We start from the raw sequence: 27,911 nt of genomic DNA, 5'->3' as shown, positions 1-27,911 counted from the left end.
ACTAAGCTGGGAAAACATGCTTGGACTTTTAATCAAACTCTTCCTGGTAACTCGTACAGTCATTGTTGGGCCTATTTCTCCATTTGTAACATAGAAAAGAAATCATCCTGGTCCCAGACATTTTTTTGTTCTCCCAAGGAAGGAAGATGACTGAATTTCATAAAAATATTTGAACATTTAGAACTAAACAACTTGTTCATGCAATTAATGTGCAGCTGTTGAGCATCTACTGTTTGTCAGAAGTATGTGATAACCAAACATGACTAACTCCTGCTCTTAAGGCACTAAGTCTAGTAGGGAAGACCACTATTAAATGAATACTTGCACAAATAATGAGCATTTAATTTTGAATTAGTTAAGTGCTCTGAAGGGAGAGTGTAGAATACTATGGGAGGTATGAGAAATGATCTAATTTGAATTGGAGGATTGGGAAGCAGAAAGTGAGGAGGAGGACTTTGAAGGGAAGGAAACAAACAGCGTGTGCAAAGGCCCTGAATTGACAAGCTGAAAAACACAGAAATAAAGTGAGCTGAAGTGAGCACAACGTGAGAAAACACTGGATTGACAGGTGGCTCCCAATATGTGGACCTTGGATGCCATGCCAAGAAGTTTAGCTTCTAACTTAAGTACAATAAGAATGCAATGCAGCATTTTAGGCAAGGAAGTGGCATATCCTTTTAGAACCTTAGTTAGACAGGGTTCATAATGAAGGAGTAAGAACAGTAACTGAAGATGTTGAAAGGTCACGGTGGTTGAGACCATGGGCTGGCAAATTACAATCATGGGTCAAACTCAGCCTATCACCCATTTTTGTAAATAGAACTCTATTGGGATGCAGTCATGTCCTTTCATTTCTGTATTATCTATGGCTGCTGTTGCTCTACACAGCAGAGTAGAGTAGTTGCTGTAGAGACACTATGGCCCACAGAGATTAAAATATTTACTATCTTTAACTTTTTAGAGATAACTTGCTGATCCTTGGATTAGACTGAAGGGTTATTGATGTCCCTGCAAAAAGAAAAAAAAAAAAAAAAAGGACTGATTCAGGATATATCTTAAAGTTGGACCATAAGACCATGAACTTGAACTCCCACCTTATTCTGAAAGCTCAGAAGATATAGTCTACAGTTGTAAATGAGTTTCTGAGGCTGTCATTTTGACTGTGGTAGAGATTTGTACGAGTTTATTCACCTTATACTTGTTCACTCCAGTCTTACTAAACTGATTTCACATTATTTTAAAATTAGAGGAGAATAACAGTTATTAACTACCATTGCATTTTCATTTAGTCACAAGCACTTACTGTTTGAATTAGAAATTGCTCCAATAAAGACAGTGACTGCAGGTTTATCTCTGTTTTTATTTTTGTTTGTTTTCTTTAAGGTGCTGATCAGAAACCCACAAATATCTGCCAGGCTGGCAACAGACCCTAAAGAGAGGTATGGAATATATGTGTCAGCTGCCTAATGCCCACGGCAGTCTGAAAGCATACCAGACACTCAGAACCTTAGTGGCAGGCTTGCTTTTCTTATGTTCTCATTTTTTAATGGGGAAATGGAGGCACAGAATGTTCCTGGGTCATTATGCTAGGTCACATTGCTCCAAGGAGGGCCCATTGCAAAGCTTTGTGATTAAGCACTCACATTCAGGAGCCAGGCTGCTGGATTTCACCCTGGTTCTGCCACTGAATAGACGGAAGAAGTATCACTTTGCTAATACAGTAAGGCACTCGACACAGCCCATGGCACATAGAAAGACTCCAAAAGCCTGAGCTATCTTGTTTTCTCCTGTTTTGTAAGAAAATCTTCTTCTCCCGTTTTGTAAGAAAATCTTCTTAGAGTTGGACAATTGCCGTGTGTCCAAAACTTTATAAGTATCATTTCCTCCTCTCAAGGAGCCTGGGAGGTAGGCAATATTATCGCTATGTTACTGAAGATACAACTGAGGCGTATCTCAAGCTACTTATGCCAGCTCTTATTGCCTGTGAGGATCAAGCCAAAATCAAACGTAAGTTTGCTTGATTCCAGAGCTTGGGTTTACAACAGCTAGGCAGCCCATTTTCTTTATACTCCCTCATCCTGCGGAGCTTGCCCAGGACTTCCAAATAATGAGGGACACATGGGGACCAAAAGGAGCTGTGGAGCAATGTGTCATGTTCCTGAAGTCCACACAGGAATGCGGGAAGAAGCTGATCCTCTGCTGAATGTACTGATCTTCTTCCAACTTCATAGATAAAGCTAATTTCCGTGGTTCAAAGTCATAACCCCTCATTTTGAGGAAGGAAGCAGGGAGACCCATAAAGCCATAATTCTAACTATCTCTTGAGTTAATAGGAGCCTAATTGGATTAAAATTTTAAATTTTATGGCTCCAACACTTTAAGACACCATGCAAGGGGGCTTAATAAGTTTGGTACTTATTAAGAGGTTTGTCATCTTAACCCAGTCCAAGTAGTACAACGATACCAACATAGAACTGTTCTCTGAGCCACCTAATTTCTTGTTCTTTAAAAATACAATCTCCCTAATGTCAGTATACCTCTCAGAAGCCCTCACTATTTATTTTAGATTGATTTCCTTGGGGACAAAAAGGCTATAATTGCACAAATACTCCTGGAGTAACTATAGAAAGAACACACAGTATTTTATATATTTTCTGCTAATACTAGCCAAGAAAATTAAATTCTACTCCCTGTTTACACCCACTAAAACGAAGCACTTAAAGAGCAAATGGCTATTAGCCATACATTTTGTGATTAATCTAATTCTAGTTTCTTAGTGTAGCCACCTTCATTTGAATTCCATTTATAAATAATGCACAATGCACCACTTCAACAATGATATGAAATTAGAGGTGAAAAACATGTGACTCCTAAGGGAAGAACAAAGGAGGTTGGAACTCAATTTATTTGTTGTTGTTGTTTTTAAAAAATAGTTATTTGGGTAAATTTGCAGCAGTCAATAAAGCATTCCTGTAGGGCTCCTTCATCCCTGGGTAGCCTTTAACTTAATTTGCATATTGGAAATTCAGCACTTTTTCTTGCTCTAATCAAGCTTGCCAAAAAAGCAAGCTAGCTTGCTATAGCAAAGATATTTTAGACACTAGTAGAGTACTGGAAAAAACAAAGGAATGTTGTAGGTACATCCTGCCTCCCCTGTTTGTTGCGGCCTTCTAGAGATGTGAGGTCAGAGGCAGAGATGCTAAGAATAGGCGCAACAGGCATGGGAGTCAGAAAACTGGGGCTCTCCATTTGCTTTGCTACTAACTAGCTACTACTCCTGGACCTGCCCTGGTTACTTTTGGTCTCAGCTTCCCCCCGCTTTTTTTTTTTTTTTTCTTGAGACGGAGTCTCGCTCTGTTGCCCAGGCTGGAGTGCAGTGGCGCAGTCTCGGCTCACTGCAAGCTCCGCCTCCTGAGTTCACGCCATTCTCCTGCCTCAGCCTCCTGAGTAGCTGGGACTACAGGCGCCCGCCACCACGTCCGGCTAATTTTTTGTATTTTTAGTAGAGACGGGGTTTCTCCGTGTTAGCCAGGATGATCTCGATCTCCTGACCTGTGATCTGCCTGCCTCGGCCTCCCAAAGCACTGGGATTACAGGTGTGAGTCACCGCACCCGGCCAGCTTCCCCCTTTTTAAAGAGGGTGTTGGCATATAGCTCCTCACATGCCATTCTTTGGTATAGCTCTCTGTCTGTATGTGTGTGTCCCCATATTCTTTCCTCTTGTAGATATGCCTTCCCACTGTTCTTCATGGTGCAGTCTTTCTCTTTGTAGGACCCAGCTCAGCTATCACCTTGATGGCTGCCGGGAGCTCGATGTACTGTTTATGTTCTGATAGCTCCTTATGTGCATTGCTATCTTATTTTAGGAAACTTGTGAAAATCTCAGAAGAGGATATGGGAAGCAAATGGTATGAACATGTTACCTATTTTGGGAGCATTTCCAAAAACATAGGTCCTGTCTCTGTACTGAAAGAGGGAACAATTAATGTTTAATAAATTCCTATTTAAAGGGTTTTGGTGTGAAATCCTAATAGTTTTGTTCTTCTGTATATGTTTCTATGTATACACTGGAATTCTTGTTCTGTATTTCCAAGTAAGGCAAAAATTTACTGTGATTGAACACGCCACCACCAAGAACACTAGGTTCTGCCAAAAGAGCCAGAATGCCCTCTCTCCTGCCTCATTTCCTTATTGCAGCAGTCACCCCACTGTCCTTGAAGACACTTGGCTGTGGGCTTTAGGGAATCAAATGAATCCAGGGATCCAGATTTGTTAACACTATTGAAGAGAACCATCAGTAATAGACAGTTTCTATATATTTCTTGCTATTGTATTTGGTGGGCAATACAATAAGAGTTCAGCTGTTTGAATGCTCTTTGTCTCTTTGTAATCAAAAGATTAAGAATATAATCTGTTCTTAATCTTTTGAGAAAATATGGCCCTAAATTTAAATGTTTTGCCTCCTGAAATGATCATTTTTTCCTACCTCTCTTAAAGTTCTTCAAAAGCAAGAACTTGTCTTATGTTCATGTGTCTCACAACCCTTAATCATATCTGGCATATAATACGTGTACAGTGAAATTGGTAAAGTGAAGCAGTGTAGAGCCTCAGAAAGAGCAATTGACTAGTTCTGTAACCTTGGGTAAGTAACAGTTCTTCCCTGGAGTTCTGCTATCTGCTCCATAAAATAAGGAGATTGGGATAGACAGTTTTTAAGTTCCTTTAGCGTTCTAAAGTTCTCGATTTGTTCTATGGTTTTTTACTCCATAGAAGCTGAAAAACTCTTAGCAGTTCCCAAGAAGAGGACATGTAGGGCTGGAAATCTGTTTGTCCTACCCTTAGTGGAGGAGGCTTCCACAGTACTCTGAAACTAGCATTGCTCTGATGAAGTTTTTTTCTAGGGTGTTGCTTTATTCCAGTCTCCGTGAACCATCTTTAACTCTAACTTGCTGAAGGGAATGGAAATTGACTCTTGTAGGGTCAGGACCGAAGGAACAGGAATTGAGATGTAGCTTCCTGCATCTCAGTAGTCAGATCTTAGAAGAGGCAAAGATCCACATATTATGATCAGAGAATATTGATCAGATTATCATCCTGTGTAGTCCCTCCTTTTTTCCTCACTTCTCTATATGTACTCAGCTGGCAGGTTATACTAAGATGGATTCACCTGGAATAAAATAAATGTGAGTTCACTGGCCAGAGCTGAAGTGATGCCTCACTCTGTTTCAGAACATTTTCTCCTGAGAGTACTTCAAAGGAAACGTATCAGAGGACCTAAATCCTTGAGAAAATCTTCATACTCTCAAATACAGCCCATGCTATTCAGCTGAGCTTCCTGGAAAAGGTTGAGTATGGATCACTAGTTAGAAAGATGGGTAGCTCCAGGGGCATATGGAGCAGAGCTCCCACTCTCTGCATATGCCCTTGGATACCTGGTACAGGATCAGACCTCTAGAAAGCTGAGAAGTTGTAACTAGACACTGACAGCCATTGGGTGCCACTTCATTTTACTTATTCCTCCTGGATTCTATGCAAGGTATAATATATGGTCCAGAAGGCAGACTCCTGTAATGAATGAAGCACTGTTTTCCCTGAGGCTATGGATGGGTTAAATCATCTCTCAAGCTGACTTCCAAATTTTACTCCAGGCTGACTACAATTTTTCTAAACTCTAGATTGTGTTTGTGTGTGATAACATTTTTTTTAAAAAATAAGAATGTCCAGATAATATAATCTGACATATTTAATCAAGTATTTGCAGAGGTCTCCATATCCAATAACTTTAGAGGTCAAGTAAATAAAGTGTGTGGATAAAGCAGCTAGGCAAAACAATAGAGTGTAGGAAGAACTTCAGAACGCACACCCTGCTTAACAAATGCTATTCTGCCCAAAGAACATATTGGCAGGCCATGTTTGTACCGGCGTGCAACTCCTGATTTAAGGTAATTGTTCAGTATCATTTATAGCATATATTCATTAGTTCAACAACACCTAAATATATATTGAAGGGTCATGTGTCAAGTGCCGGGTTAGACACCAAATAGACAATAATGAAGTATACAGGTCTGGAGTTAAACTATGCATATTTACCAGTTACTTCATTCAAAGCAATATCAATGTTTTTTTTTTTTTTTTTTTTTTTTTTTTTGAGACAAAGTCTTGCTCTCGTCCCCCAGGCTGGAGTGCAATGGCGTGATCTCAGCTCACTGCAACCTCTGCTTCCTGGGTTCAAGCGATTCTCCTGCCTCAGCCTCCCGAGTAGCTGGGATTACGGGCACCCGCCACCATGCCTGGCTAATTTTTGTATTTTTAGTAGAGATAGAGTTTTACCATGTTGGCCAGGCTGGTCTCGATCTCCTGACTTCATGTGATTCACTTGCCTTGGCCTCCCAAAGTGCTGGGATTACAGGCGTGAGCCACTGTGCCCGGCTCAATGTTTGTTTTTTGTTTTTTAATTTAATGTAAAATAAATAATGTCATATTTATTGTGTAAGATATTCGAACATTTCCAGTTTAAAGACATAACACAAATGAGCATTTTCTCCTTTTCCTTTCAGAGATTAACAAAAAACAGTTGAGGAGCAAGCTAAATTCCTACAGGCAATAGTGGGACCAGAGCTCATAGGCTGGCACCAATAGTACAGTTTGGTCCCAAGGAGAAGCAGCAAGGCCATGCAGGGAATCACATAAACAGGTCAGATTTGTTTGAAGCAGTTTGACAGAGGAACAGACTATAAATTGTGGAAACCTGCCCACCTTTGTTTATTCTTTGGCTGTGGAGGAACCAAGGATAAATAACTTGTATACAAGCTCCTGGGAATAAAGAAAATTCTAACTAGCCTGAGACATGGTCCTGACTTCTGCCAACAGAAACCTCCAGCAATTGCTGGCTTAGGTAAAAAACAAAAACAAACAAACAAAAAACAAAACAATACAAAAACCTCCTTTAAAGATGAGTGTCCCAAAAGGAACTGATAGAGGATCTAAAAATTATGATAAAGTATTTTGCCCAAATAATAATAATAAAAAACTTAAAGCAATCATCTTGGTGAAAGAACACAAAAAAATAGAACTCAAGGCGACAGGAGGATCTGAGACATGATCTATAGAACACAACAAAAAACTAAATGGCAGAGAAAATCCATCACAGCAAAGAAGTTGAAACTGAAAGGAAGGCAAATACGTTCAAAAGCTGATTTTAAAATAAAATAAAATATTTAAACAGTTTTAAAAGGAAGCACAAATGCACAAAGTAAGAAATGATTGATAAGAAGTAGCACCAAAGGCATAGAGGAAATTTAAATAAATTACCTAGCTCAGTTTTATACAAACTTGGAAACATAAATGAAATGGAAAGTATACTAGACAATATACTAGAAATATTAAACAGACCAGTTCCTATAAATGAAATAAGAAAGCTATTAATATCTTCCCTCTCCCACACACCAAAGGCATAAAATCCAGTTTCAGAAATTCTACTACACCTTTACAGAACAGAATTAAACTCATTTAAACTCTTCCAGAGCGTGGGCGGAGTGGTGACGGTGGAAGGAAAGAAAACTACCAAACTCTTGGGATAATCTTTATATGAAACTGTACATCAAAACCTGATAAAGATTGCACAGAAACATAAAACTACAGATGAATTCCATGTACTAATATGATGCAAAAGTCCTAAATAAATTAAAACTATAAACCATTCTGACAAAGTGGGGTTTATTCTAGGAATAAAAAGATGATCCTTAGGAAACATACTACCATATTTCACTATATTTAAGGAGGAAAGAAGACTATCAGGTTTCTCCATAGGTACTGAAGAAAGGCACTTTACATTTTAGAATTGCTTTTTTAAAAAAGGAAAAAAGAGAAGAGTCCATAAAATAGAAATAAATTAAATTTCTTTAATATAATATAATGTACTGCAACTGCAAAGCCAGCATTATGCTTATTAAGAAAACACTAGAAGCATTAATAGTCAGAAAGTGTTAAAATTAGGAATAGAGCAAGAATGACCTACATCACTGGTGCTATTCAGCATCATCTGGAAGTACTAGCAAATGGGATCATATGAAAGGCAGGAATTAGAGGCATGTAACTTAGAAGTTGTAGTTACCTATTTGTATATCGTATAACTAAAAACTGTTACAAACTAAACTCAGTAAAGTAAAAGGGAAAGGAAGAAAATAGCTTTCTTATGTAAAAACAATAAACAGTTAAAGCTCTACTAGAAGGAAACACACCATTTACGGTTGATTTTTAAAATATAAAATATCATCACTTCTCAGCCTTTTGGCTAAGATCAAGTGTAAAATATAAAATTTCTAGTAATAAACTTAATAAGTTGTGTGTGTGTGCACGCACTCTCATAAAATACACTACTGAGGAAATGTAACAACCTACACAAATCGCTAGACATACCATATGGTGAGATAAAAGGACTCAACAACATAAGACTATATCAATTATTCCTGAGCTGAACTTTTATATTTAACATGATTCCAATACAAATGTCAATAAGATTTGTTTCTGGAAGCATACAAGCTTATTCTGAAATTCAAATGGAGAAACAAAGAAAAGGAACAAAATTTAAAAATATGTAAAATGGAGTGAGAAATTCATTATCAGATATTAAAATATCATGCTGCAATAATAAAATTTTGGTTCTGGTACATGAATAAACTGGCAGCCAATGGGACAGAACTGAAAGTCTAGAAATAGGCCAAAAGACTTACGTGACTTTAGTATATGATAAATTTTCATTTCATATTAGTGAGAAAATATGGATTATTCAATAAATTTTGTTGGAAAACTGGGTCACCATCTGGAAAAAAATTTAAGTTGAATTCATACTTTAAGTCTTATACCAGGATAAATTAAAACTGGATCAAAGAATTAGGGGTAAAAAGTGAAACCATAGAGTTACCAGAGGAAACTAAGAGAACAAATTATAATCTCATAGTGTAGAAAGAAGGCCTTTTTAACCATTTCACAAATCTTGGAGTTAAAAGAAAATATTAATACACCAAACTACAGTAAATTAGAAAACATACACTTAAGGCAAAATATAATCATTCAAAAGCTTGTGATAAACTCTGAAAAAATACTTCTTTAAAAATCTTATCATGGACAGAAGACCAATTTCTGTAATATAAAAATAATTCACATAAGCCTTTAACAAAAAGACAAACATCCCTAAAGGAAAAAAAAAAGGATGAAAGACGTGAACATACAGTTCACAGAAAAATTTATACAATTGGCTACTAATCATGTAAAAAGGTCCTTGACTTCATTCATGTTAAGAGACACAAAAATCAAACTACAAGGAGAGATACTATTTTTCATCTCTCTTTGTCAAAGATACAAAATTTGTTATAAAAAAGACATGGGGGAATAGGCTTTCCTAGGGAGAATATAAATTGGAGCTACATCAAAGGAGGGCATTTTGTCAGTATTTAACATACATTTACACTGATCAAGTTCACTGCTAGAAATGTATTCTAAAGATATATTGCACATGAATAAAATGGTGAATACACAAGATCATTCAGCAAAGATTGTTTGCAATAACAAATGAGTGGTAACACCCTAAATGTCTGTTGGCAGGAATCTATCTAAATAAATGTCTGTCAGCAGGTATGTAAGCAGAGTATCCATACCATAGAATACTATGCTGCCGTGCATAAGACCAGGCAGGATCCTCTCTACAAGCTGATATGGAGAAATCTCAAAATTTATTAAGTGAAGAAAGTAAAGTGAATAAAAATCTGTATGGCATGCTATCATTTGTATAGTAAAGACACACACGCACAAGTACACACAAACACGTAAATATCTGTGTGTGCATAAAAGCTCTAGAAGTATACACAAAAAACTGATAAAAAATTGACTTTGAGAAAGGGAGCTGAGCAGATCAGTGACCAAATGGGAAAACTTTGGATAGAACCTTCTTTTGTACCTTTTAAGTGGTAGAACCACATCGAATATATCATTTATTAAAAATACAATTCAAAATATCAATTAAAACAAAGTTATTAATCAAAAGAAGGAATTTTCCATGAATTTAATCTTCATTTATTTCAAAGGTTCTTGCTTTTATAATATGATGGTGATAGTTCATAGTAGATATTGTTTTTTGTTTTTAATGTATTTAGTTTTCAAAATGGAAAAAAAATCCATTAAAAAGATATTACATCCTGATTTATGAGTTTGGGACACCTATCCACACATGATCTTGATATTTTAAAGCATTGGAATAAATAATCAAAGAAAGAATACACTTTAGAAATAGAAAAATTTGAATAAGGAATGAAAGTGACTTCTCACGTCTTCATATCATAGATAGTATTTAAAAGCATCAATATATTCCTTGGTGATGAAGATGGGGACATCCAATTATTGTAAAAAAAAAAGCATAAAATATGAGGAAAACTCAAATACCTCGGAAGAACTATGGAAACAGCTGTTGCTGAATAGTCAAGGAATGTAAAATCCTGAAAGTTAATTATATGCTTTTTATAGCAATTTGAAATGGACCCAGTGATCTGATTCCACCGTTTTAAAAACATTGACATATTCTTTTTTTTTTTCCAGCTCTGCAGGGTTGGGCCGTTAGCATTTGACAGGGGCTGTGGTAAAATTAGTTTGTAACTCTCTCACACATTTCACTTTACAGTTTACAAATCACTTTCATTTACATGATTTTATTTGATGCTTCATTCCAATATAAAAGTTATTCAAAGCAACTATTTTTATTTCATTTTTACAGATCAGAAACTGAAGTTTGGCTTGCTGACGTGACTTGCTCAAGGTCACATAGCTACGAATTGTAGACCTAGAACTAAAAACATCCTGGCTCCTTGTCTAGTTTTTATTGCTCTATCCCAGGTTGTCTAGCTTAACTAACTCTTGCTTCATGGAGCTTGTAGGAAAGGATGCCCTGCAAATGCAGGACGTAAGCATCTGGGGAATATATCCAATCATTCTTGCATTAAACCCCAATACTTCCTCTAATCGTGTCATCTATGTGAGCAGTCATTTCTTTGGTGTGCAGGAGTGTGTGTGTGTGTGTGTGTGTGTAATGATGTTATCTATATGCCATCGGGGCACCTGCACATTTGCATATGGGGAAAGAACTGAATAAAACATGAAGTGTTTTATTCCAATGGGATGCAAGATCCTCAAAGGATATTTACAAATGTACTCAAGTGCCTCAGAATCAATCAATCTCTGAATCAACAAATGTTCTTTGATTCCTTGGTATGTGCCTAGCACTATGATAATGCTGTAGGGGAAACAATGAAGCAAAGAAAGAAAGAGGCACCCCCACCACCACCTTGGAAGCCTCAATTTAGATAAGAGAAAATAATTGGATTCATGGTGGTCTCTAGCCGGCGCCTACAGAGCACAACATTCCCTGAGTTCCCTCCAAAGGGCTCCAGTTGGACAGAGAGGAGGGGCAGGAAAAGCTGCTGAAGTTCAGTGAACTACATCCTAGTGACCATTCATCAGGAGGTTATTTGAAGGGGAGTTCTGGACTTCCCTGATATTGGCTGAAATCTGGAACACTACTAGCAGGGAGAGCTACTCATAGGGCTTTTTCTATGCAGAACCCTTAAGGCTATTGCCTGTTCTGCTCCTGCCTCTTTGTACGCTATTCTCTACCCAGCAGATAGATAGAATGTTTTTAAAAGTAAATGACTGTGTCTTTCTTTTGCTTATAATCCTATATGATTTCCTCTTGCCCTTAGAATAAAATTCAAACTCCACCATGAAAGACCTTTATCGGGCCCCTGCTTCTTTCAGACCTCTGCGCCACCCTCTCTTCTCACTCATGATGCTTCCAGACATCCTTCCGATTTTCCTCCTGTCCTTAGCTGCTGTTTATGCAGGCCTTTGTGCTTGCTGTGCCTTCTCCATGGAGCATCTGACCCCCAGATCTTTCCATTTCTGGCTCCTTCTCACTATTCAGTTTCATTTCAGATATTGACATTAAGAAAGACCTTCCTTACCCGACCAGTCTAAAGTAGCTGCCCCACCTCTTCCCTATGCTCTATAGATCATCAATGTGTTTTCTTAGTTAGCACTATATGTAATTCATTACCTTATACATTTGTTTTCTTGTTCATTGTTTGTCTCCCCCAACTAGAGTATAAAAGCTTTATGAAAGCAGCAGCCTTGTCTGCCTTGTTTATTGCTGTTTATGCAGCTCCTAAGATAGCACGTAGTCAGTGTTTAACAAATATTTATTGAATGAATGAATGAGAAGCCTCAGAAATTGAGCATTTACGGCTTTCACTATCAACTGCATCCCTTTATTGCTTGATGACTATTCTGAGATATTACCCAAGAATCTCCCTACCTCCTGTGCCTTCCTCACCTCCACAAGTTATCCTGCCATCCTTCTCCTATTAAATCAGAGGCACCCTTTGCCCCAAGGGAGATTAAGATTATTAGAGCAGTAATATAAAGGGAGAGAAAACCCAGTAAGTTCTGGGCTTTTTGAGTTTCTAAATAGATTTTTTAAAATTATTGCTTCTGATTTGTAACAGCCAGGCCCTTTTCAGTATCAGAGGTAAAGCCCTGAAGGAATCATGGCATAAAGTGCATGACATAAGCAAGTGACTTAAAAAAGAATGGAAGAGCCATTTTATTTAGCCCTGGAGGCAAGACAAAAATGGAGCCGGTGGTAGGGGGAGGGAGAGGAGAAGTATGTAGGCAAGGATCAAAGGGGACATGAGGAGACACCAGATGATAGCTGACAAGGGGCCCAGTGTCCTGCCAGCTACCCAGTGGGGCAGGTCCTGAAGGAACAAGGGGTCTCAGAGAAGACATAGGCTTCACTGTGCTGGTAAAACCTGAAGAGTCAGGAGAGAATTCCTGCATGCCAGCATGGAGCAGCAGTACTGAAATAGTAAAGTGGCATTATGTGTCTAGCAAAGTTGAATTGAAACAGCCTCCTAGGTTTCTTTAGGAGTAGCAAAGGGAAGCATACAGAATTTTCTGAGCTTCCAGGAGACAAGTGGAAATGGTTGAGGGATACCTTGTAGATTTAAAGGGGCCTGATAGCATTAGCACACAGAGATAGCCATGAGTTCTGGTACTGAGAGGTAACTGCAGGACCATGGACAAGGGCAGTACATGCCCTAGGGATCAAAGCTAATGGCCAAAGAGTAAACAGCATCCTAGGCCAACAAAGGGTGAGGGCAGGGAGTGGCAAATGCAATGTCTCTCGCCATTTTTCCCTCATCACCCTTTGGTTGCTTTTAAGACCCTCCTCCAAACATTAGATGACACCTGGCCAGAAAGGAGACAAGGAATGAACTCTTAATATGACTGAGTTTATGCCAAAAAAGTTTCATTTCAATTTTGTGACTATATGAAAATATGCAGATTTCTTGTCATCAGGTGGAAATGGTATTTTTTTCCACACTTGAGTTTGTGATATGAAATTATTACACATCACACTTATTTGAAAGATGTCCAGAAGCATCACAGATAATACACAGTCAGTGGTCGGCCACTGTATGGTGTAGCAATAAAAGGTACAGTTACCTCACAGGGCATGCCTTGTACCTGACTTGGGCTGAGAGCTCTGAGGCAAGTAGCAACCCTATCTGAAGCACAAGCTTCAGGTCTGGAGTCAGATAGACCTGGGTTCAAATCTCTGCCTCTAGTTTTTGCAAGGTGGTTATTTGAGACAAGGCATTTAAACTTTTAGGGCTTCAGGTAACTCATCTAGAAAACTAAAACAATCTTCAAAAAATTATTTTGGGAATTAAATGAGGTAATATATGTAATGGTTTAGAACACTTATTAATTGTTAATAGGAGCTCAAAGTGGAAATTACTATTGTTCTCATAAGTGAGAATAATTTTTATTTTAACCGAATTTGATGTGTTCTTTTAACCACAATCATTTTATATTTTGTTTATGAATTTCCTATTGCATAAAGCAATATTTCTATTAAGTATAGCAATTCACTGAGGAGGAAATTAACAACCAACGTGGTAAATACATTGGTTTTATACTTCGAATTAGCAAAATACACACCAATTATCAACTATAAATTATAACATTTGTATTCTCACATTTAATTTAATCTTATCCATGAGAAAGAGAAAACAATAATAACCAGCAAAAATTCACTGTCCAGTTCAGTTCTCCTTAGTAACCAGCAGCATGCATTTACAAGAGGTTTTCCTAGAAATTCATGCCATACATTGCAGACACTAATTTCTAGAATTTGAAGAGATTTTGAAGAGGACTTAGAAATTACCTGGTTTAACTCTTGCTTTTTACAGAGGAGAAAACTGAGGCCCTGGGCAGAAATGACTTGATTAGTGTTAACTAGTTATTGACAGGGTTAAGATAAAGCTTATATTAGTCTTTGCTGTGTAACAAACCACCCCAAAAGTCAGTAGCTTCTAACAATTATTTATTTTTTGCTCACAGGACTGCATGTCAATTGTGGCAGCTGTGGGCTCTGCTCGTCTTGGCTCCAGGCTTCTGTTTGGGTCTAGGTCTGCTCCATGAGTCTCTTACCCTCTTGGGTCAGCCACTGCCAGGGGCATGTTTGTGCTATAGTGGAGCTTAGGTGTGAAGGAGGACAGGCAGAAAAATAAGATATCTCTTGAGACCTCAGCTCAGAACTGGAACATTCTCACTTCCACCTACATTCCATTGGCTAAATAAAGTTAGATGAGCTAAATCAAAGAAGCAGTGGGACAGGAAAACAAAATTTCATTCATTCTAGTGGAAGTACTTCGAAGTCACTTGGGCCAAAGATACAGATATATAATTCTAATGAAGGGAGGGCATAAGCAACTGTGGTGACTCAATGTACCATAAGATCTCATTCTTCAGATTTCCAGGTAAGCTTTTTCTCCCCCTCCACCATGTTCTAAGCAGGCCTCTAACCTAGGGAGCTAACTAATCAGCTAAAACTTTTTGGTGCTGAGCCACATAGGATTAGCCTAGGCAGTAAGTTATCAACATTGCATTTAGAGAAAACAGCTGGAAAATCTAGGATCAGTTACACAGAGATGAAGAATAAAAGAATAATAATAATAGTTAATCAGCTAAGAGTGGTTTCCACCTCCCTTCTGCAAAACTGAAACTCTTAGAAAGTTTTCTCTTTAGCAAAAGGGGATTTACAGTTTCAGTCCTATCAATTGTTTTTAAATTAAAAATGTATTGAGGTCCTCATGATGGGAGCATATAAACGAGACATGCCAATGCTTGGCACAGGCAGCCCAGTATGTGTGTATAAATTATACCCACGGTGACTTGGGTCTGGCTGAGACATACTGCAGTAACTCTGAGTTATACTTTCTCTGAGTTAGAACTATTAAAACAGACCTTCTTAGGATATTTAAAACATTGATCATAGGCCTGCAAATGGATGACTTCTCCACCTCATCAGGGCTTCTTCTGCCTTCAGCAGTTTCAGATGATGATCTTATCTGCATAAATTGTGTTTGCTTCCATCAGCCCAGCAGGCCCCAAGCTGGTCCAAGAAGAGATGACCCAGATGTCCTTCAGTGGCTCGTACTAAAACCTAAATTAGCAGCCAAACTCTGGCTATAAATGCCTTCATTGCCTTTGGTGACATTAAAGACATCAAGTAGAAGACCTGATACTGGGCTTCTAAGATATACAGGTGCAGCCCAGTGACTTGTAATTCTCTATTTATCTCTTCATTGACATCAACATGGACTGGGAGCTCGTGACGGACAACAATTGTGAAGGAGCTGAAACTTGAGCCCAGCTATGAGGTTCATCTCCTAGCAAGAAGGGAGAGTGGGCAGCCAAGGAAGACAGCTAGAGTGAATCTGAGGAGTATGGCAGTCTGTCTTCAAAGACCATGGAGAAATTGTGTCAAATTTCTCTTGTTCCTATTTGCAAAACCTGATGAGAAAGGAGTAAATATTTACCATTTGCCTGTGCCTAAGTGTAAGACTGATATTGATGAATCTTGGTATACAAACTTTGCGGTTTGTTGTCTAAATGTTAACGATTGTCAGTAGGTAAAGAGGGGATGCCTTTCTGGCTTCTCCGAAAGAGTGCTGGAGGTTGTTGGCTTCAATAAAAAACAGGTCATAAGGCCATCTTGAATGTGAGAAAGAAGAAGCTCCAGGATTGCAGAACAAGAAATGAGCTCATATAGTGAAAAATATCCTATACTGGAAGTCACAGCTCTGTGACCTTAGGCAACTTTCTTCCCTTCTCTGGGCATCTGTTTCCCAATCTGCAAAATGAGGGGGCTGGATCTGATGAACTCTAAGTTGTCTTCCAAATGTAATAGTCTCTGGATCTAAATTTTTTCTCGATAGCCTCCCTACAGAATGGTCCTTACAACATCAACTTATGCCATGCTATGTAGTATGCAGAAAGAGCACATAATTTGGAGATATAGCCTTAAAATTTGAAACAAAGTTTATGGCAAATTTGAAGCAAACTTGGGCAAATCAAATCAAAGCATCTCTGAAGTCCACTTGGAGTCAGAGGACATAGATTTAAAAGAAGGGAGCTGAAGATAACTTCTATTGGATCAACTCATGAGTACTCAAGAACTGATGAAGTAAGAGCCAACCAGCTCAAAACTGTCATGCATTTTTTGGACACTTGATTTCATGGTTATCTTTTAGAATAGCACGGTTAATCACTTGAAGCCGGAAAATGAACCAAATGCCTTTTGGACATGGTACTTGGCCCTGTTTGGGATCTTAAGTGTCCCTTTCTTCATCCCCAGCAAGAGTTTCAGGCAGTAAGGAATAGATACAGGGAGCTGTAATGGAAACAGCAAGGATTTGGCTATTAAGTCCACATGGTTTCAAATCTCAGCTTCTCCATTACCAAGGAGTGTGATTTGGCTAACTCCTTTTCTTCTTTTCTTCCTTCCTTTCTCTTTCTTTCTTTCCCTCTTTTTCTTCCATTCTCTCTCTCTCTTTTTTTTCTTTCTTTCCACAATTATTTACTGAGTGGCTGCTGTGCTCCAGATGCTGCTAACCAGACACTGGAGTGGCAGTGGCAAATAAAAACAGAGTTTCTATCTTCTGGGGATTATCATTGAACAGGAGAGGCAGGTGGGTTTACGCTTATGTTACAACGTGATCAGTGCTCATTTTGAAGTTAGCACAAGATGCTGTGGCCTAACAGAGTGGTGTCTCTTTCTTTCAAAATTTAAAAAATACCTAAAAATGAAAACAAGCAAACAGAAAACCCCCAAGAATCCCTTTATTATAATGTTAGAAAGCCACTCAGCAAATAACATTTTGTGAATGCCTATTGTGCCTAGTAAGTTACATACAATATCACTAATCCTCACAAGTTTTTAAAAAATCATTGCCCCATTTTATGCATGCAGTAACTGAGGTACAGATAGATTATATAGTTTTCTCCAGGTTACACAGCCATAGTGGAAGAACTGGGATATGAAGCCAGTTCTATGTGACTGTAACACCCATACTTGCTCTTCAAAAAATGTCACAATGCCTTCTCTTCTAAATATGGGCCCTCCTCTTTGTTACCCAGCACACATGACACAGAGGTCACCAAAAGGCAGTTGAGATAATGTGGTCAAACCATGTGAAAAGCCAGTCTCTTGGGTTGCCTTCTTTTCCCGAGAGTTCACTCAGATTAGGGGTGAGAGGCATCTGTAGGGAAAGAAGGTGAGGAGACTTGGCTGCAATTTAATGTAGGTTTTGATGGCTGGGTTTCCCACTCCAGGAGACCCCCGTTCACATTTCTCAGTGTTCTCCAGTTTGCAAGAAGTGCTTCTCCATGTTGTGTGTCCGGTGCACTCACAGTGCCTGAGCTGCCGTGTTTTATCCCTTTCCTGATGCACAAACTCTAACAAAATGAAAGAGTATGTAGAGAAAGCCAAGTACAAAGCATAACTCAGAAATGGTAATGTAACAGGGCCCACCACGGCTGCTGACTAGTCGCATTCGTAATGATTTTCTCCAAATAATGCAAACACTATTTTTTCCTGAGAAAATGAAATATGCGAGCGCCACGTTCCACATATGATGGGGGAGAACTCATAAAAGATTTTAATCTTCCCTTGTCAAGCTTCAGAAATGCAAACGGCCTCGTCCTCATTTTCTTTATGCCCTGGACTTCTAATTGAGGAAGCTGGCATCAATTGTGCATGTGGGCATGGCTGGGGAGGGAACCAGAATAAATATTTGGGGGGTATCGTTAGCCAGAACATCACTTCATCTTTGTGTCACCATAATTTCCCATATCGCAGTGCTTTAGATTAGAACATATGGCAATAAGGTAGGTAATGAGAACAACAATTTTCTGAAACAACATTATAACTTTTCCCTCTTTATGGTCACATTTAGTTACAGTACATGCTGCCATTTAGGTACAGAGCTTTATAAAAGCAAATCTCAGAGAGAAGGGAATTCAGGAACTAGGGCCTAGGAAGTCTCAACCCCTTGGACAAGAGCAGACCCTGCAGATGAGAATTCAAGGTTGTGGGCTAGTGAACTTTTACTTCAGTAACAATCTCAATTTCGAAGGGGCTTATGCCAACAGTGTTTCTTGCATTTTCATGTTCTATGAAGACTGTGAGTAACATGAGCTGGCTGAGCTCTTATTCGGAAGCCAAGCTAGAGGAGTGGCCACAGTCTGAGATATACTTGTCGTCTATGAAAGGGTTCGAGACCAATCACCCAAGTGCATTTACTACTTCTGTTTGAGAGTGCAAATTTCATATTCTCCCCTGATCCACTAGCCAAAGCAAGTCACAGGAAAACCCTGTAAATAAAACAGGAAGGCTTTGCAGAGATGGAGATGTATATTATGCACTTAGGGGGGAAGTTGACAGTATGAACAATATAATCAACCACAGGGTGATTCCATAGCTTCAACCCATCATCACTGGGGAAACTGCGTTGGGGGAATTCAGTAAATCAGCAAGTGAGCAGAGAAAATCATCACCAGTGGTGCTAAGGTGGATTTAGAGTTCATATAAATACAAATTTACAAGTATCTTTAAAATACCAGTCTAAATGCCAGGCACTGTACAATGCATTTAGGGGAAATAATGCTAAATATGATGACCTCTACCATTCAGAAACTCTCTATTTTGAAGGGATAATAGCCAGGCCAAGAGTTAAGCAAATGAGTGTGCAGAGTATAGTAAAAAAATACTATAGAGGAATAAAAAAGGGGGAGGATGGAGAGCATAAATGCACTGTTAGGTGCGTTGGACATATTATCTCATTTCATCAGCATAATAACTTGAATGAGACAAGAATTGTGCAAAGAACCTAACCTGAGTATCAGACAAGTTTAATGATGTGCCCACCTACAAGCTAGTAAGAAGTGAAGCTGGGTGTCAAATAAAACAGCACGAATGGGAATGGAATGGTAAAGACAATCCATTCTGCCTGAGAGAGATCAAGAAAGGAACCATGCCACAAAGGTGGCATTTCAGATGGGCTTGATAAACAAACAGCATGTCAGTAGACAGAAGAAGACAGGCAGACAGAACATGCAGCCTTAGGGAACAGCATGAACAAAGCCCAGGAAGCATGAAAGAGACAAAATTCTGGGGAATGGAGAGAACATTGATCTTATGTGGTTGCTGCATGAGGTAAAATGAAGAATCAGATTGTGCAGGGCTGTGCAGTGTATGTCATGTTAAAGTATTTTGGACTTTACTCTGCAGATAGTGGAAGCATTAACAACGTCTAAGCAAGGATATGATCTTGCCTGGATCTTTTAAAAGTTCATTCAGCACTTTGAGAGACCAAGGTGGGAGGATCGCTTGAGCCCAGGAGTTTGAGACTGCAGTGAGCTATGATTGCACCACTGCACTCCAGCTTAGGCAACAGAGGGAGAACCTGCTTTAAAAAAAATTATTCAGTAAAAAGTTCTCAGGGCACACTCCTAGGACAGGCTGCCTGACCCCCCATAGGATATTAGATAGCCCCTAAAGCTGCCAGCCTCTCTGTGAAGTCTTTACCTCTTCAAGGCTTCAAGGAAGAGGGAGACTTATTGCATGTGTGTTTGTTGGGGGAGGGGGGGGTGTACACACACTTCTGAATTTATGGCTATATTTGACATGATTTTAATCAGATATTTAAATTGTTAATATCTGAGGTGATACTGCCCACAAAGGTGAGTTTAAGCTCCACCGCCCAAATTTCTTAAAGTTGCATTGTCTGGGTTTTCATTCTTGTTGTATTAATGATTTTCACTTTCCAGACCCAGATTAGCTGCTAAGAAGCAGGGCCCATTATGAAAATAAAGCACAAACCTGTGCATTTCCCCAACCGCCCTGCAAAATGCACATACATGTGCACACACACGCACACACATTCATCACAGGGATACAATATGAAGAGAGGAAAAACTAGTGGCGAGAAGCTCCATGTGAAAAGAGGCAGGATTCTAGGGGTTCCTCATTCTGGCTCAGGCAACTGTCTTTATGCCAGGCACTCAGGGATCTTGCATTTATCACCAACACCCAGTCCAAAGGTAGGCAAAGCCTTTTCCCTTAACTCCCTTTACTGGGAAGATGAAGCTGGCATTTGTAAGGTAACTTTATTTTACATTAAGGAAGAAAAGAATTGGGTGACAGGAGGGAAGCAAAACCGCTTTTCTGATTCTGAGAATCCCATAGGATTCTGACCAGCTTTCCTCTGTCCAATGCCTCTTTTGCTAAGAAAATCACTAAAACTCTTGATGATTGAATCTAATCTTCCCTAGTTCCTCCTCTCTGAGTTTTCTGCTCATGATGGTGGGAGCCACCATTCTTCACACCATGGTCAACTTCAACATTCTTCCTCTGCCAGGACAAATCTCAGGAACTCCAGTTCAAATCTCTAAACAAGCTAGAGTCTGCCCGCCTAGTTCCAATTTTCAGAGAGGAAGTTTTCTGCTTCTCTCTTTTTGTGCAAAGAATGATGATTCACTGAGCTTCAAAGAGTGAAATAAGCCAATGGTTTTCAAACATAAGCCTGCCTAGAGGACTTAATAAATCTGGATCTCTGATCCCCACCTGCTGGAGTTTCTGCTTCAGGTGTTCTGAGCAGGGACTCAAGAATTTGCATTTCTAGCAAGTTCCCAGGTGATGCTGATGGGCTGTTTCCCCACATTTTGAGAACTACAAATGTGGCCACTTGGGCCTATGACACCAGCCCCACCCTCTTCTGGTGTGTGTGGGTGAATGAAGGGTGCACCAGTGGGGGAAGTTCAGAGCTTTTTAGGCCTGATTCTAACATCTGGCTTATTTTCTATTTGACCTAGTGATCTTGTTATCATTATTATTATTCCAATAGGTTTTTAGGGAATAACCCAGTGATCTTGGACAAACTGCTTGCCTCACTGGGACTCAGTTTTCAAATTAAAAAAAAAATAGCAACAATAATCTCTCTCAAGTGTTTTGTAAGGAATAAAGAAGATAGCAAATATAAAGTCCTTAGCACAGGATCTGATACATCAGTAAAAGTTCTCTCATTCCCCGCCTACTGCTGGACCTGATTCAAGTTAGAGTCTTCTACATTCTCATATAGGAACGTGATCCTGCACAAGTTCTTCCATTAAGATGGTCAATGGAGCAGTCTAGTGACCAAGAGATCATTACATGGAAAAAACAATGGTTTACATGTAATGTTGACATGTTCTATTTGAATATAGCATCTGCCAGTCACCGTTTTCTTGCTCAGCCCAAAGAAATGATACTTCCATATGGAAGGTGCAAAAAAGAAAGCCATAAACTATGCTAATAGAAGTCTAAATTCTGCTTTAATGACTGCTATATCTGCAACATTAAGTACAGAATGGCAAGGAAGGGTGGCTCTGTTTTAGAGAGCGGGGATTGGAGCTTGTTTACTATTGAATAAATCCTAGATGAGCTCTACACATTGAGGACTTGTGAGCTGGGGTTCAGCATTGAGAAGGGTATTCAATGGCCGTAACACCAAAGGTAGCCTGGGAAAGCTGTGCAGAGCCATGACATAAAGAGCTGTGGGTGGTCTGGAGGCTGAGGTTTCTCAACCTTAGCTTTGGAGATGGAAGAGACTAAGGTAGATATGTTAGCATTAAAATTCAACCACATACAAAGAACACATAAAAATCCAAGTGATTGTGAGTGCAGCATCTGACTGAGAGGAAAAGTTTTAACTACTTCTCATCTTCTCATTTAGGATAGAATTTCTGGAGTAAAGACTTTAAAGAAAGAAGATTATATCTAATTCATAGCATATTGTAAAGGTTAATAAGATAATGCATTAACGGTGCTCACCAAAATTCCTGATGCATAGTAGCCTCTCAATAAATGTAATTATTGGTTACTATCATCCTGAAAAGCATTTCTATTATAACTAATCAATGGTCAGCCAGGCGCAGTGGCTCATGCCTGTAATCCCAGCATTTTGGGAGGTCTAGGTGGGCAGATCACGAGGTCAAGAGATCGAGACCATCCTGGCCAATATGGTGAAACTCTTGCCTCTACTAAAAATACACACAAAAAAATAGCTGGGCGTGGTGGCACGTGCCTGTAGTCCCAGCTACTCGGGAGGCTGAGGCAGGAAAATCTCTTGAACCTGGGAGGTGGAGGTTGCAGTGAGCTGAGATTGTGCCACTGCACTCCAGCCTGGTGACAGAGCGAGACTCTGTTTCAAAAAACAAAAACTATGAGGGGCGCCTCTGCCCGGCTGCCCCTACTGGGAAGTGAAGAGACCCTCTGCCCGGCCAGCCGCCCCGTCCGGGAGGGAGGTGGGGGGGTCAGCCCCCTGCCCGGCCAGCCGCCCCGTCCGGGAGGTGAGGGGCGCCTCTGCCCGGCCGCCCCTACTGGGAAGTGAGGAGCCCCTCTGCCCAGCCACCACCCCGTCTGGGAGGTGTGCCCAACAGCTCATTGAGAACGGGCCAGGATGACAATGGCGGCTTTGTGGAATAGAAAGGTGGGAAAGGTGGGGAAAAGATTGAGAAATCGGATGGTTGCCGTGTCTGTGTAGAAAGAAGTAGACATGGGAGACTTTTCATTTTGTTCTGCACTAAGAAAAATTCTTCTGCCTTGGGATCTTGTTGATCTGTGACCTTACCCCCAACCCTGTGCTCTCTGAAACATGTGCTGTGTCCACTCAGGGTTAAATGGATTAAGGGCGGTGCAAGATGTGCTTTGTTAAACAGATGCTTGAAGGCAGCATGCTCGTTAAGAGTCATCACCACTCCCTAATCTCAAGTAATCAGGGACACAAACACTGCGGAAGGCCGCAGGGTCCTCTGCCTAGGAAAACCAGAGACCTTTGTTCACTTGTTTATCTGCTGACCTTCCCTCCACTATTGTCCCATGACCCTGCCAAATCCCCCTCTGTGAGAAACACCCAAGAATTATCAATAAAAAAATAAATTAAAAAAACAAAAACAAAAACAAAAAAAACAAAAACTAATCAATGGTCATACACCCCCCCACCCACAAGATTGCAAATTTCACAAAGTCAGGGACCAGATCTATATTACTACAGTGCCCTGTGCATAGCAGAAGTGTGATAAATATTTGTTGAAGGTAGAAAGGGAGGGCTAAATAGGAAATAAGAGATTTGAGTAAGGCTTCTACCATGGGGAACAAAAAGGAAAGAATTGGGAAATATGGGGAACCAAGAATACAAACGGGACAGACTATCTCCTTTGACTGTGGGCCCTAAGTAGCATCCTTTTTGACTATTCCCTATTGCTGCATCCTTCTGTTTCTCCCTCCATCACCCATCCTGAAATGCCAAGTTGAGACCTTGTGTCCTCCAGTCACTGGCAATGGGTTTACCCTGAGGTCTCCTGAAGCTCTATCTAGGCCACTATTTGCCCAAATAGCACCTCTGTACAAATTAGGAAAAGGTGCCCATTTTTTCCAGGTGGATGTAGCCACAAACTAAGAGGCTCGGTCTGGTCCACGGAGTGGGGGCTGGATTTCAGCTTCCCCCAACCCCTTCCTCCTGTTGGTCCTCAGTCAGGTGCAAGGCATAACCTGTACAAGTATAGCTGCTGGGCCAGGGCTCCCTTGAACTTCAGCCACAGCTGCACACATTATGAAGAGTGTGTTTATAATGTATGGGCCCTGGGGCTATAGTGGTATGTAAAATGGGTCTCCCATCTTCATGGAAATTATTCTCCAACAAAGGAAGAGACAGTAGCTTCTTCAGGTGGTTTAATCAGTCAGATATTTGATTTAAAGGCCTAGAAGTGAGACATACCTGGTTTGAACAAGGTAGCATGCTTGCCAGCTATGCTACCTTGAATAAGTCATTTTACCTTTCAAAGCCTCCATTTTCTTATCCTGAAAATGAGGGTAATGACATTACCTTCCTCAGAGGCCTGTTGTGAGCCTTAAATGAGACACAGGTATAGGTTTCATACATTTTGCTATAATAATTGTCATTCTATAACCAACCAAATGTAATCATGAAGAAAATGGAGACATCATTCTGGACTAGCACATTCAGAAAAAAAAAAAAAATCACCAAGCCAAGCGTAGTAGCATATGCCTGCAGTCCCAGCTATCCTGGGGGCTGAGGAGGAGGATCACTTGAGCCCAGGAATTCGAGAGCACCCTGAGCAACATAGGGAGGCCTTGTCTTTAAGAGAAAAGTAAAAAGAACACCAAACCAGAGTAACTTGAGCAGGAGTGGCAACATGAATTACCTTGGGGATAAGGCAGAAGCAAAGGTTACTAAAACAGGCCAGTTGTGATGTAACAAGGGATAGTGTGGAATGTGGCAAAACAGAGCATGCACACCCCATCTATCTAAAAGCATTCAGCTTCCAGCATTTGAGATCAACCGATATAGTCTGCAAGTGAAATTTTGCCTTTGCAGGATGGGCAAAAACAGGCAAAACACTGGATAAGAAAATTCCCAGTTTTCTTGGAAGGCCTGTCCTTCCTAATAACTGGTGTCACTGTTTCTTCCTATTTCTCTAGGGGTCTTTGGGAGTGATCCTGGACCCTTGAAATCCCTTCTATCACTCTTCCCTGATGATGGCATAGACCCAAAGCCACAGAAAACAAAGCCACTTTATTTTCAGACTCTTGAACGTTACCCCATGACAAACTCTTAGAAATGCCAGGCCTTTCCTCTTTCTTCTCCCTTCCCTCCCACCAACTAAATCTGAGATGAATTGAGTGCAGAGACTTCTCGCTCAGAGTACATTGTTTGAAAGTTTGTGTCATAAATGCATCGATCCTGCCTCATGCTCCCAAACAGAATCTCGATGTTGAAGCACTCCTTTAATCAAAAGTAAATTATGTACAGGCCACGTAGGCCAGCTCAGCTAGCCTCACAAAAAAGGCAATCCATCATTTATCCGTAAATGTCAGTGAAATCTGGGGATCAATATGTGCGCCAATGTGGATTATGTTTATTATTTTTCTGTAAATATCAATGCCGAGAAATAGTTCGAGGGAGCAGGCAGGTGCCTTGGGAAATCAGAACCTAACCTAGGGCATATGGTTGCATGGTGGAATCTTTCCAAGTATATTTGATCTGTCTTTTTGGCACTTCTTTGCATGTGAGAGCTGGGTCATCTCTAGTCTCATGAGAAATAGAAAAGAGAACAATTCTTAGGGCAATGAAGGAGTCTGAGAAAATTCCAGAGTTGATCTACCCTACAATGAGGTGGAGATGGCTTCTCTTGATATATTCTGAAGAGTGAGTATCGGCATAGAAAATAAAATAACTCCCAAAGATCTGTTTCATCCACAGGATCCCTGGAGCCAGAGGCAAGGAAATCTACAGCACTGTCCCGTCCCTTCTTTCAGCTCATCCTGATTGGTACAACCTCACAGGTGATGTCAGAGTCCAGGCAGTCAGGGGAGCAGCAAGCAGATGTTTTTGAAAGGAAGGATCTTGTATCAGGCTTCCTATTACTTTCTTCCTTTAATTATATAGGCAAAAGAAAGCCTTGGAAGTTTCTCTGTGAAAAACATGATCAAAGTGGTACTTAGAAAAGACAACAATAAATATTTGAATATACAATATTGGAAGCATAAGAGATTAAAGGCAGAGGGACCAATTGTGAGCCCCAGCCTAGATGGGTAGACACCTCTTTGTGGTCCATAGATCACAAGCTGTGAAATCAGGCATGCCAGGGCTCAAAGTTAAAACTTCATTCTGTTAATTGCCAGATGCATAAATGGAGCAACTTATAAGACCTTTGTGAGCCTCAGTGTCCTGCTTTGTAAAATGGGGTTAATAAGAACAGCTGAATTAGTCAGGATAGGCTGGAATAGAATATACTGCAGGAACAATCCCCTACATCTCTGTGGCTTCTAAAAGGTTACTTTTCCTCTCCTGTTTCAAGCCTATCCTTGTCAAAGGGGTAGGATGCTTTGTGAACCACGCGCTTGGTCTTCTCTAATCATTCGTGCTTTACTTCAAGGGATTCAGGGAAGTACAATCTTGTATTCGTTCAGAAGGAGAAGAGCTGGATATACTTGGCAAAGAGCACTCACAGCTCACACTGAACTCATAGGGCTTGGGGGCAAATTAAAGGCAACTTGCTGACATGAAGCCTGTGTCTGGTACCTGACAGGAAGGTATTTGACCATGGATGCTTACTCTGAGCCAGCCCTTTGATGTCAGACTCTGAAGGCTGTATTTGATTTGAGAGACAACATAGTATCTTCATGGGTGTGAAGAAGGAGAATGGCTAACTGGTGGGCTTGGAAAATTAACTTCGTCCAAGTACGGAGAGAGAGGTGGGAAGCTTTGAGACACTCCCGGAGGTGGTGCTAACGGCCTAGGCATGTGATGATGAGGACAGTGGATACCTACTGACATATTTGAAGTCTTATTGTCCTGCTGGGTAAAAGTGGAGAGCCCTGGGAACAGATGTCATGGGCATACTCAATGCCTATTTTAATGGAAGAATCAATTTAAGCTGTGGCAAATCATACAGTTAATATCCAGCATGCTTGAGGACTTCCACATTGCTTTCTCCCCCTGAAGTTTCTTCCTGTCTTTGTGTCTCCACTGGGAGCCTTGCAATTGTGTCATTCTGGATTAGGTAACATGAGACCTGAGATACAGGCCTATTACTCAAACTGTCTCTGTGACCTTCATAAGGTAGTCATGTTCCCTCTCCAGGCTTCAGTAGACCCGTTTGTAAAATAGAAGAGTTAAAATCCACCATCTCTAAGGTCTCTTTCAGTACCAGGTTTACAGTTTCTTGAAGAGTATTGGCAGCGAGTACAGGATTACTCTCCTCATGCCAGTTAACATTGATAAAATAATCTTACAATATCTGATTTAGTTTATGCATTCTTGTGCTTCACAGGGTCCATTTCCCCCAGCCTTGGGAAGACTAGAAAAAAGATGTAGAATAAAATCAGGATGTACATAACTTTTGGGAGTTATGGGGAAAGAGGTGCGATGAAATAAGGGTGTATGTGTTTATGGAAGTTTAATATATCGGAAATAATTAAGAAAAAATAACTCAACTCTTATGATTTTCATTTTCAGGTTTGGGAAGATCTCTGCAAAGCCTTCAGTAGGTTCTCTGAACCCTGGTTAGCAGGACTAAGGGAGAAATATGAGTTTGCTTAGGATCCATGGTGTGCCAGGAGTGCATAAGCTCCATAATATGGGCAGGGATGTTTGTCTTGTTCACTCCTGTATCCCCAGCACTGAGAAAAATAATGACATAAATAGGTGTTCAACAGATATCTACAGAACAAGCACATGAATTATAGAAAGAAAATGAATCATGCCTGGGTTCTTCCATCATGGCAATTTCCAATCCTCTTCTTATAAGCCAAAGTTCTTTTTCTTATGAATGCCTCCAGGGTTTCCCTATTCATCCTTTCACCAACACACACAAAGCACTTAATCCGTGCTTAATCCTAGTACAGGTCCTTAGTGACACATACGCTAATCTGCTTTTCGCCACCTAGTGCCAGA

General features: G+C 40.1%; 1 long non-coding RNA gene across 9 annotated transcripts in view; it reads left to right on the top strand.

Annotated features, from left to right (window-relative positions):
- The window catches only part of LOC105372892 (uncharacterized), a 57,069-nt gene extending 46,100 nt beyond the window's left edge, over positions 1 to 10,969 (top strand). For 4 of the 9 annotated variants that reach the window (XR_007066856.1, XR_007066861.1, XR_001738434.2 and 1 more), the window contains 3 exons: positions 1,384 to 1,439; positions 1,895 to 2,007; positions 6,558 to 6,838. This is a non-coding gene — a long non-coding RNA (uncharacterized LOC105372892). Of the gene's footprint in view, positions 1 to 1,383; positions 1,440 to 1,894; positions 2,008 to 3,866; positions 4,014 to 6,557; positions 6,839 to 10,765 lie in introns of those variants that run through there. The other 5 variants (XR_001738436.2, XR_007066862.1, XR_001738435.2 and 2 more) reach the window with 3 other exon arrangements.
- The last annotated feature ends 16,942 nt before the right edge of the window (positions 10,970 to 27,911 follow it).

This window comes from Homo sapiens, chromosome 1, assembly GCF_000001405.40.
Source record: "Homo sapiens chromosome 1, GRCh38.p14 Primary Assembly".
Taxonomy (NCBI): domain Eukaryota; kingdom Metazoa; phylum Chordata; class Mammalia; order Primates; family Hominidae; genus Homo; species Homo sapiens.
Note: the sequence above shows the minus strand (reverse complement) of the source record. Positions and strands in the feature narration are given on the sequence as shown.